This window comes from Homo sapiens, chromosome 6 (assembly GCF_000001405.40).
Source record: "Homo sapiens chromosome 6, GRCh38.p14 Primary Assembly".
Taxonomy (NCBI): Eukaryota; Metazoa; Chordata; class Mammalia; order Primates; family Hominidae; genus Homo; species Homo sapiens.
The window spans coordinates 89512536-89525179 of record NC_000006.12 but is presented as its reverse complement, the minus strand read 5'-3'; the positions used below and the strand labels follow the sequence as shown (position 1 = coordinate 89525179).

At 41.5% G+C, this 12644-nt stretch overlaps 1 protein-coding gene across 15 annotated transcripts in view; it reads right to left on the bottom strand.

Annotated features, from left to right (window-relative positions):
- Positions 1-12644, bottom strand: part of ANKRD6 (ankyrin repeat domain 6) — a 200683-nt gene that overhangs the window by 108655 nt on the left and 79384 nt on the right. The window lies entirely within an intron of this gene.

Genomic DNA, 12644 nt, shown 5'->3' with positions numbered 1-12644 from the left:
TCGGACTAGAGGTGTGTGCCACCAGGCCCAGCTAATTTTTGTGTTTTTAGTAGAGACAGGGTTTCATCATATTGGGCAGGTTGGTCTTGAACTACTGACCTCAAGTGATCCATCAGCCTCAGCTCCCAAAATGCTGGTATTACAGGCATGAACCACCACACCCAGCCTAATTTTCTTAAAGCAGAGCAGATTCAACATCACTAATTATCAAGGAAATGCAAATTAAAACCATAATCAGATACCACCTTACTCCTGCAAGAATGGCCATAATTTAAAAATTAAAAAAAAAAAATAGATGTTGGCATGGATGTGAATAGGGAACACTTTTACACTACTGGTGGAAAGTAAACTAGTACAACCACTATGGAAAACAGTGTGGAGATTCCTTCAAGAAATAAAAGTTGAACTACTATTTGATCCAGCAATCCCATTACTGGGTATCTACCCAAAGAAAAAGAAGTCATTATATGAAAAAGACACTTGCATATGCATGTTTATAGCCCCACAACTCGCAACTGCAAAAATATGAAACCAGCCTAAATGCCCATCAATCAACATGTGGCTAAAAAAAATGTGGTATATACACCACATTATTTCATTCCTTTTTATGGCTGAATACTACTTGGACATAAAATACTGAATACAACTCCAGCCCAGTTGCTGCGAATGTCGTTATTTTGTTCCCTTTTATGGCTGAGTAAGAAACGAAATAATGGCATTCTCAGCAGTCTGGATGGTGTAGGAGACCATTATTCTAAGCAAAGTAACTCAGGATTGGAAAAGCAAATATCGTATGTTCTCACTTGTAAGTGGGAGCTAAGGACACGAAGACATAAGAATAATATAGTGGACTTTGGGGACTCAGGGGAAGGTGGGAGGGGGGTGAGGGATAAAGGACTACACACTGGGTACAGTGTATACTGCTTGGGTGACGGGTGCATCAAAATTTCAGGGATCACCAAAGAACTTATCCATGTAACCAAACACCACCTGTTCCCAAAAAGCTACTGAAAAAAAATAAAAAGAAAATTATCAAGAGGAAAAACAAACAAAACAGCAGAAAGAGCTCCTGTGGGTGCAAAAGCTGAGCTGATGGCCCTTTCCTTTCCTGCCAAAGGTTATCATCCTACTCCTGCTAGTCTGGCTCTCCTGGCCTAGGGTGAAAACCATATAAGAACTGACATCATTCACCTTTTAGCCAATTGCATATGAGTTCAATTTATTATAGGAACATGTTTGGTAGCCAAACGGACTGCATCATTATCAGATGGAGGCAGAGAATTTGCTGTTAGGATTATTCTTTGATACTAGATTACAAATGCTGACAAAAAAGATTTATTCATGCTATAAACTCCTTGAGGGTAGTGACTTCAACATATACATTTCTGCAGGCTTAGCACCTAACACAGTAGTGTCCTAAGGGACTGTGAATAAATGAATGTTCCACCTACTAAAGAAATGAGCACAGAGAAGTATGAGGCTGGCAGCCTGGGTATGCCACAGATTCTACCATAGCAAACGTTTCTCAGCATCACTATGGGTACTTGGGGCATAGAACCAAGGAAATACTGGACTTATGGTAAAAACTGAATTCTGGATCCAGAAGGGCACTAAATAAAGCTCTTCTCTAGGCAGGAGAAGAACGAGTTATCAATAGGATAAACACATAAAGAACTGCCCTCTTCTAGCCACAGGTCAGTACCTCTGAGCTATTCTTAGAAAAAGTTCACTGCTCCCAATAAAAGAACCAGAAGGTCCTCCAACTATAAACTAGACCAATAACAGAAAAAGCCTTCTTCAATATCTTATCTTTAGTTCTTTTGCATGACAGTCTTTGAAGGCAAATTCTCTCCTTTCATTCACTAAGAGCTGGCCCTCCATCCCTGGCCTTTCCCATGAAGGTAGCCACTTACCAATGCAGAGAAGCAAACAGCCTTCAGAACAAAAAAGGGAAGATGCTAATCTTGTCTAACGCAAACCTGAGAGTTGATAGTGCCACAGCTCCTTAAACACCCTTTTCTGAGGCCTACAACCCAATACACTTTGGCACACATTAACACCTTTGCAGACTTGTTAAGTGAGAATAAAACAAACTGAAGAGGCTGCTCCAGCTCTCAGGAGGGAATCTGCTGTCTCCATCTCACCTAGGCTGACCCAGGGCACAGAATATCATCTCTGCATCAACACCTAGGAATGCCTGTGACCTGGAGCAATCCCCAGTCCCCGCACCTGACATGCTGGAGGCTGGGTCTCAGGAGGATTGAGGTAGGGCTTCGGGACACTAGATTTAATCCCTTCTCTCTTTATGCTCTGGCTGTTGGTGTCAGATGCCTGAGACCAGGAAGAGTGCAAATCTAAATGGGTAGGGCACAAGGCTATGAGACTCTTCCTCCTCATCTACTCTGGAAGAAAAGAAACAAATTCTATGGGAAATTTCTCTAAAATCAAGAGATGTTACTCCCTAAATTTTCTGGGGCTGCCCTAGAAAAACTTCCCAAGCCACAGGTGTAAACTGCTGACCCAGGAAGCTAAAACCTCTCCCATGGATTTAGCAAAGCTTAACTAAATCACTGTCAAAGTGAACTAGACAAACGAAACAGGGCTGGCACATAATTCCCAATTTAGAAGAGTAGTTGTTTCTTTTTTGGCCTGTCAAGAAGGGTCATCACACTGTTTCAAGATGACACCCCCAATCAAATTTCATTTCTTAATCTCCCCTTTAGCAGGTTTTGAGGAAGCACTTCTATTTCAGCTCATTCTACAGAAAGGTATTTGGCAGTTCTTTCTATGACACTCTTTTACTCTGACCATTCAGAGATGCAGTCGAGCTCCTTAAGCATCTCACAAGCCCCAGCAACAGCCTCAAAAAGCCCCTAACAGTTGCCTGCCCTACAGCAGGGGTTGTGGACTAGAATTTCAATAAAGCATCTGCCAGGGACCCTTCTCCCATGGCTTGGATGCCAACATATCATGTAGACATTCTTGCAGGCCAGAAGTTAACTAGATTCAGAATTAGCTAGAGAATTCCCCCCTGATAAGTCTCATCCATGATGGGACCATAATGCGCACACTGAAAACAGGCCTCAGGTTTATGTATATACACTGGCAAGGAGTTCTTCCTTGGGAGATCCACAAGTTGATGCCAAGGCATTTCAACTGTCAACATAGGCCAAATAATTTATATTGGAAGCTTAAAAGGGTGTTATTCAAAGTATAGGTTATAAAATAATGTATATACAATTACAATTGTCAATATTCAAGTTTTGTTTTTAAAATAAATATAAATGCACAGAAGAGAGACTAATAGGATTATGTCATAAATAAATAATGCTATTCCCTGGGAGATGGAATTGGAGACTTATATTTGAACTCATATTTTCTCAAGGTCTTCTATAATAAAAAATATTATTTATATAATAAGGAAAAAAATTTTTACAAAGGAAAATAGATCTGATTCATACAATTCTCTCCAGCCTACTGCTACCAGTCTAGTCCAGACCCCTATTCTCTGCCCTAATCTAAAACGTCACCTCTCACCTCTCCCCTGGATTAGTAAGTACCACAACTGGACTTGTTGCATCTTCTGTGGCTTCTTCTCATTGAGGCCACAGTTCTCTTTTAAAAACATAAATCTGATTATGTTGCTCCCATTCTTAAAAACTTTCCAGCATATTGGTTGCCCTTAGGATAAAATTCACAATTCTTAACATGGTTGGGGGCCAGCTGGCCCCTTCACTCCAGCCTCACATTGGGGGGCTTGCCACATTCCTGAGTCCTGACATGTCAGCTTGCTGGCTCCTCCATCTCTTTAATTCTCACTCATCTCTGAACCCTGAGTCTAGATGACACCTCCCCAGAGAGGCCTTCCCTGACCTGCTAATCCAGGTAAATCCACTCAGCACCTTGTAGGATTCTTTTCATTACTCTGATCAGACTTGTAATCACTGGTTAAGGGGCATCTCCTGGGCTGGACTGTGAGCACTGTGAGGGCAAGGACCACAGAAGCCTCAGGTTGACACATGGTAGATACTCAAATCAGTATTGAGTTTTAATACTTATTTAAAAATGAAGCTGTGACTAACAGGGCAACATTAAATAAAATCTCTATTTCTCAACATGTTATTTCCTGCAATTCTTTTAAAATTCCATTTTAAAATAAGAGAATGTGGGAGGACAGACTATTTTTCTTTTTTAGACATGGTCTTGCTCTGTCACCCAGGCTGGAATGCAGTAGCACAGTCATGGATCACTGCAGCCTTGGCCTCCCAAGCTCAAATGATCCTCCCACCTCAGCCTCCCAGATAGCTAGGACTATAGGAGCATATGCTGGGATTACAAGTGTGAGCCACCATGCCCAGCCCAAGACAAATGTTTATTGTGCCATTTTTTCCTGTACCTACATTCCTACTGTTCTGTGCTAGGACAAAACAAACAGCAACTACTATCATAATTAAAGCTAATATTATTGGCTGTCTTTTTAAAACACGCACCATTGCTCACATGAAACAAGAAGGGCTGGGTTTGTGTACTTCTTCCACTCTGCAGCCTAGGATCCAAAGTCCGAGGGATACTTCTTAGCTCATCTGGCCATCTGAACACCACATCCCACCTGGCTCAGCCAAAGCCATTAATAATCCAGGAAACAGTGATGTGAACTACTGAAAGAAGACCATTTTGATAAGACCATAGGCCCCTATCTTTCTCATCCTCTGTGGTTTAGCTGTGGTAATTGCTAACATATATTTTGAGTCTCTGCTGTTTGTTGTGATGCTGACCCATTTGCAGCACACTCCTATTCAGACATCCATGGAGGTAACTGCCTGATGATATAGGAGGCTATGTAACTGACTAGACAGCTGTAGGTTGCAGGGCTTTTGCCAAAATGAAAAAGAGGCTGCTGAGTGCAGTGCTTCACGCCTGTAATACCAACACTTTGGGAGGCCAAGGTGGGAGGATGACTTGAGCCCAGGAGTTCAAGATCAGTCTGGGCAACATGGTGAGATCCCATCTCTTTAAAAAAATTAAAACATTAGCCAGGCATGGTGGTGCATGCCTGTAGTCCCAAGTATGTGGGAGGCTGAAGTAGGAGGATCGAGCCTGGAGGGTGAGGCTGCAAGTGAGCCGTGATTGTGCCACTGCACTCAAGCCTGAGCAACAGAGCGAGATCCTATCTCAAAAAAGAAAAGGAAATGAAAAGAGGTACCAAATTTCCATCGAGTCTCATAACTTGAGTTCATTTGCCAACCTCTTTCCAAAATTCTTAGTAGAAAATTACCTACACACTATGCTATGATCCGAAGAATAATTTGTTTAGTTGGAGATGCATTCTACTATTTTCTTTAACAGATAGCATTTCTAAAGAGATGATTATGAACTATCTTTAAACTCTGCTCTGGTTCATGTAAAGAAACAGTGTAGACCACAGTTTTAATTCAAAAGACATTTATCAAGAATTTAAAATATGCCAAGAGGTATACTAGCTGCTATTACTATCTGTAGGCCCAAGCCTTTCAAATTCATATCCATATTTCAAATCTCTCCTCCAAACTCCTGATTCAAATAGCCAACTGCCTACTTATTTCCACATGGATGTCTTCAAAGCAGCACCTCAACTCTAAGACTCAGATCTAAGACCAAACTCATCTGTCTCCAACCTAGTCTTCTCCAGTGTTCGTTATTGCAACTGTGCAAGTCAAAAAACTTGGAATCGATCTTGAAATCTCCTTTCTCCCATTCTTTCTATAGAATGCTTCAATCCACCACTGCATTGTGTTGGTTTTGCTTCCTAAATCTCTCTCCCATCCATCTATACTACCAGGCCAAAATCCAACTGGTATTGTGTCTTAGCTGGGCTTCTGCAGTAGATTCCCAACTAACCATCCTGAATCAACTTTGGCTTCTTCTGATCTTTTCTCTGCAGTATGACCAGGATGATATTCTCAATCTGTAAATTACAGCCAGTATCTCCCTTGCTTAAAAATCTTTAATAGCTTCTGTTAATAGACTGAATTGTGTCTCCCTCCAAAATTCATACGCTGAAGCCCAAACCCCCAGTACCTAGAATGTGACTATCCTTGGAGAGAGGGTCTTTAAAGAGGTAACTAAGGTTAAATGAGGTCATAAAGGTGAGGCTCTAATCCAGCAGGACTGGTATCCTTAGAAGAGACATCAGAGATGTAAGTGCACAGAGATAAAGCCACATGAGAACACAGGAAGAAGGTGGCCATCTGCAAGCTGAGGGGAAAGGCCTCAGAAGAAACCAAACCAGCAGACACACTGATCTTGGAATTTTAGCCTCTGGGAGTGTGAGACAACACATTTCTGTTTGTCATTTAAGCCATCCAGTCTGTGGCATTTTGTAATGGCAGCCCTAGCAAACCAATATAGATCTCCATAGCTCTAGGATAAAGATCAGTGCCCCTGGCTTGACTGAAAAGATTCTGCATGGAGCCACCTCTCTCAACACATCTCTTAACTTTCTGAGCATTGGTCCCATTTGGCCTTTGTTCAATTCCTCATCAGTGTTATGCTTTTTTTTTTGCATCATATGACTCTGTGTGAGCTGATCTGTCTGCCTGAAATACTTAATCCCTCCCCACTGCTCCTGCCAGTCAAAGCCTACTCATCAGTTCATCATTTCTTCCTCAGGGAAGCTTTCCTAATCCCCCAGCTTAGGTCAAGCTCTGTTGTTCCATGTTCCCATGGACTCGTGTTCATTCCTTTCATTCAGATCACTTACCTGTGTTTGTCATAAGATACTTATTTTTTTTTTTTTTTGAGACGGAGTCTTACTCTTGTTGCCCAGGGTGGAGTGCAATGGCGCGATCTCGGCTCACCGCCACCTCTAACTCCCAGGCTCAAGCCATTCTCCTGCCTCAGCCTCCGCAGCAGCTGGGATTACAGGCATGCGCCACCACGCCCAGCTAATTTTGTATTTTTAGTAGAGGCGGGGTTTCTCCATGTTGGTCAGGCTGGTCACGAACTCTGGACCTCAGGTGATCCACCCGCCTCGGCCTCCCAAAGTGCTAGGATCACAGGCGTGAGCCACCACGCCCGGCCATAAGATACTTATTTTTATGATTATTTGGTTGTCTGTTTCCCACTAGACACCATGAAAACAGGAACCATGTCAGTTTTTGCTGTTTAGAGTATCTTCAGTACCTGGCATAGCACCTGCTACAAGGTAAGGGAGTAATAACTATTGAATGAATCCATGAATACATAAAGACATTGACTTTGCTCTCAAGGGCTTGCAGAGAAGTGTATATCCAAAAAAGTCAAGCAACTGCCACAGGGGCTATGACTGGTAAGATCCCATGACCTGCTGATGTGACAGTGGCTACTCCCATCCCATTACATATCATAGTCCCCCCCTTAGGAAAACAAGAGCTGGGTTTCTGTGCATCTACTCTGTTTAGCAATTAACTGTCATAAGGACAAGACAGTTTTCTCTTTTAAAAAGTATCCCCACTGACGGGTTACAGGTGGTCAGAATAAACATAACTATCAAGTTTTTCCTATAAATTATAATAATGATCATGTTGATTAAACAATCTATGTGGACTATAGGTCCAAATTTTTTCATATATAATGGTTCCATTACATTTTTTCCCCACTCTTATGTTTTTAACAAGTATCTCAACAACTTCTTTCGACATTATACTACAACAAGGAAAACTAATAATGGGCACAACTTTCAACCTACCAGAAAAACATCAAATGAGTTTCTTGAGTCTATTATTCCAATAAAAGAGGCCAAAGTTTATTCTATTATGTGCCTTTTCACAATGTATTAAAAATTACACACTATCCCTCTATAAAGAAAGAACTGCATTCCACCAATTTATTCTGAAATAGCAATTAAAATCTAGAAACAATGCAATAAAATTATTAAACTACTATTAATTTTTAAATGTTACAGATAAATTAATTTATGTCAGACCAACTGTATAGGTTTCCTGTGGCTGCTGTAACAAATTACACAAACATGGTGGCTTAAAACAGCAATCTGGCCAGGCGTGGTGGCTTACGCCTGTAACACAAGCACTTTGAGAGGTCAAGGCAGGAGGGTAACTTGAGCCCAGGAATTCGAGACCAGCATGGGCAACATAGTGAGACCCCATCTATACTAAAAATCAGAAAAATCATCTCGTTTTGGTGGTATGCACCTATAGTCTCAGCTACTCAGGAGGCTAAGTGGGGAAGATCACTTGAGCCAGGGATATCAAAGCTGCAGTAAGCTATGATTGTGCCACTGCACTCCAGTCTGGGCAACACAGTAAAGCTCTGTCTCCAAAAAACAAACCAAAAACAAATTTATTCTCACTGTTATTGGGGTCCTCCAGAGAAACAGAACAAATAGGAGATATACAGATAGATATGGATATTGAAAATCTAGAATGAGGCCAGGCACAGTGGCTCACACCTGTAATCCCAGCATTTTGGGAGGCCAAGATGGGTTGATCACTTGAGGCCAGGAGTTTGAGACCAGCCTGGCCAACACGGCAAAACCCCGTCTCTACTAAAAATACAAATATTAGCTGGGAGTGGTGGCACGTGCCTGTAAACCCAGATACTTGCAGGAGGTTGAAGCAGGAGAATCGCTTGAACCCAGGAGGTGGAGGTTGCAGTGAGCTGAGATCACACCACTGCACTCCAGCCTGGGCAACAGAGGCTGTGTCTTAAAAAAAATCTAGAATGGAATTGGCTCCCACAATTTTGGAAGCTAAGTCACACAATCTGACCCCTGTAAGCTGGAAACCCAGGAAAACCAGTGGTGTAAATTTGAGTCTCAGTCTAAAAGCCTGAGAACCAGGATCCCTGATGGTTGTAAGTCTTAGTTGAAGGGCAGAAGATTGATGTCTCAGCTCATGGACTCAGGCAGGGAGAAGTCAACCTTCTTCTGCCTTTTTGTTCCATCAGGACTGGCCCTGAGGGGTTGAATGATCCCCATCCACACTGGGGAGGGCCATCTGCTCTACTCAGTCTATCCAGTCACAGGCTCATCTCTTCCAGAAACACCCTCACAGACACACCCAGGAATAATGTTTAACCAGGTATCTGGGTATCCCATGGCCCAGTCAAACTGACACACAAAATTAACCATCACACTCACAGTTTTGGAGGCCAAAAGTCTGAAGTCCAGTTGTTGGCAGTGCTGTACTCCCTTCAGAGGCTCTAGGGGAAAATTGTTCCTTGTCCCTTTTAGCTTCTTGTGGCTGCAGATGGTCCTTGGTTCAGGCCACAACACTCTAATCTCTGCCTTGGTTTTCACTTCACCTTCTCTTCGTGCGTCTCTGTCTAATTTCCCTCTGTCTTTCTTATAAGGATATATGTGATTGCACTTAGGGTCCACCCAGATAATCCAGGAGAGGCACCTTCTCTCCAGATCCTACCCTAGTAATCCAGGAGAGGCACCTTCTCTCAAGATCCTATCCAGATAATCCAGGAGAAGCACCTTCTCCCAAGATCCTACCCAGATAATCCAGGAGAAGCACCTTCTCTCAAGATCCTGTCCATATAATCCAGGAGAGGCACCTTCTCTCAAGATCCTTAATAACATTTTGGGGGGCCACATAAGGTAATATCACTCATTTATCATTTAAGGTAATATGCACAGGTTCTGAAGGTTAGGAAATGAGTATGTCTTTGGCAGGGCAGACATTTTACCTGCCGACCATACCAATCCTACCACCAGTAACAACCAGAAAAGCTCAACAAAACATTGAACAAACAAAAAAATCTGTGTGAAGACCAAAGACCCAAGTCCTTGCAAGAACCTAAGTATTCAAGATCATGAAGGAAAGGGTGGTGCAAAGAGGTAAGCCAAATGTTTGAGGACATGTTTTCCTTTGTGGCATTTGCTGATTTGCAAGCAGCTGTGAAGTTTAGGGAACACAAAGGTAGAAAAACTGAGTAAATAAACACTCCAGACTTCAGTTGGACACCCTGAAAAGGGCTAATCATCCTAGAAATAAGGACATACTGGAAAGACACTAGCTTCATAAAGACTGATGCCCAGCTCAGAATCAATTCAAATGAAAGAAAAACCACAGTGACAGGAGATTTATAGTTCATGTATCCAATTAAGGTCTGATGTCCAGAAGACATAAAGAATGTCTTCAAAATCAATAAGAAAAAGATAATCTAATAGGAAAATGCTCCAGAGTTTGAAAAGGTAATTTCACCAAACAGGTTATCCAGACAGCCAATAAGCATATGGAAAGGTGCTCAACTTCAAAAGTCATCAAGGAAATAGGAAGTAAAACTACTACGCCCAGACAAGAAGGACTAAAATTTTAAAAGACTGGAAACACCATGGTTGACACAGATCTGGAGCAATGCTAACTCTTTTAACACCTGTGCCTGAGGATGTAAACTGGTATAACTGCTTTAGAAAACTGTTTGGTAGTGCCAAACATCTATATATCCCATGCCCAAACAATTCCAATTCTAGGTATATAATCAACAGAAATACAAACATGTACACCAAAGGACATATGGGGAATGTTCACTGCAGCATTACTCATAATAAACTATAAATTATTGGTAATCCATCTAATCATAGAAATGAAGTGAACTATTTCCACAAAATATATTATGACAGTCTTTTGAGGATATCTTATGCCCAACATTTTAATTCCATTTACGGCAGGGGTGTCCAATCTTTTGGCTTCACTGGGCCACATTGGAAAAAGTAGAATTGTCTTGGGCCACATATAAAATACACTAACACTAACAATAGCTGATGAGCTTAAAACAAAACAAAACAAAACAAAAACTCCAAAAAAATTTTTTTTTTTGAGATGGAGTCTTGCTCTGTAACCCAAACTGGAGTGCAGTGGCACAATCTCAGCTCACTGCAACCTCCGCCCCCCAGGTTCAAGCGATTCTCCTGCCTCAGCCTCCCAAGTAGCTCGGATTACGGGTACATGCCACAATGCCCGGCTAATTTTTTGTATTTTTAGTACAGATGGGTTTCACCATGTTGGCCAGGGTAGTTTTTAACTCCCGACTTCATGTGATCTGCCCACCTCGGCTTCCCAAAGTGCAGGGATTACAGGCATGATCTACCGCACCCGGCCCTTCATAATGTTTTAAGAAAGCTTACGACTTTGTGTTGGGCCACATGAAAAGCCATCCTGGGCCATATGGCAGCCCACTGGCCACGGGTGAGACAAGCTTGATGTAAGGTTTAGCTACTTAAGTCATTGGAATGTGACAGTCTGATAATTCTTGTTTTCATAAATTGGAACATTAAATTTTCCCACATTATACATTAAAAAATTTATCTATAGAAATAGTGAACGCATTCTGAATTGCTTTGCCATGCCATAAATAGGGAGAGATTGCCTTGTTCTTCACTTTGCTCTCTCTTTGTGTGTCTCTGTGAAGCTCACTGCCACCTAAGACTAACATTAATGCCTTTCTGTTCCAGAATGTAGTTAACCAAAATATTTAGGTTATGTTCTTAAGTAGTTTATTGTTTGGTAATTTAACAGCAAAGTTGAAAATGAAATTTAAAATACAGATAATTTTTTAAAACTGTAAAACAACCAAAATGTACATAAATAGCAGAAGGGATAAACTGTGATATATGTTCATACTACATAAGAATGTAAATCAATAAACTATTACTATTTATAACCATGTGGATAAATCTTGCAAATATCCTGCTAAGCAAAAGAGGTCAGATACAAAAAGGATATGCCATATGATTCTCCTTATATAGAATTCAGAACAGGCAAAAGTCATCGATTGCATTATAAGTCAAGAGAGTGATTTGGAGGGGAAAGCAGGTTAAGGATTGGGAGGGGGGATACTGGAAATTTGGCAGTATTCAATTTCCTGATTTGGGTGGTAGTTACGTGATGGCATTCCCTTTGTGAAAATTCATCAATCTGTATTTTTACGGTTTGTGCACTTTTCATTTGGTATATATTTTAATTGAAAGTTAAAAGAAAAAACAGCCATGACAGCCATGCACAGTGGTTCATGCCTGTAATCCCAGCTACTCAGGAAACTGAGGAGTTTGAGACCAGCCTGGGCAACATAGTGAGTCTCTGTCTCTAAAAATACTTTTTCAAATTTAGCCAGGCATGGTTGCACATGCCTATAGTCCCAGCTACTCAGGAAGCGGAGGCAGGAGGATCCCTTGAGCCCAGGAATTCAAGGCTGCAGTGAGCAATGATCCCACCGCTGCACTCCAGCCTGGGCAACAGAGCAAGACATTATCTCTTAAAAAAAAGAGAGAAAAAGAAAGAAAAAAAGGAAAAAGAAATAGAAAAGAAAAAAACAGCTATGAACTATGAGCTTCCAGATCTGAATTTTCTGAGTGGAAACCATTCACTCTTCTAAGACAGACAACAAAGATTATTACTTCTTCTAGATTAGCTATGAAATCTATCCCAATCAGTATCTGATTAAAATTGATATTTATGTGCAACATGCTGCACAGCCATTTGCTAAGCTTATTGGCATTTCTGACACTTCCAGGGAATCCAATTCCATGCTTCACTAATACTGGTAAAGCACTGAAAATATCTCCTCCAGCCAAAGTCCAGGTTTACCCCAACAGACAAACACAGATGCTGCTCCTTGTGCCCACCCTGGCCACAGCCCCACACTCCAGGCTGCACAGCTGG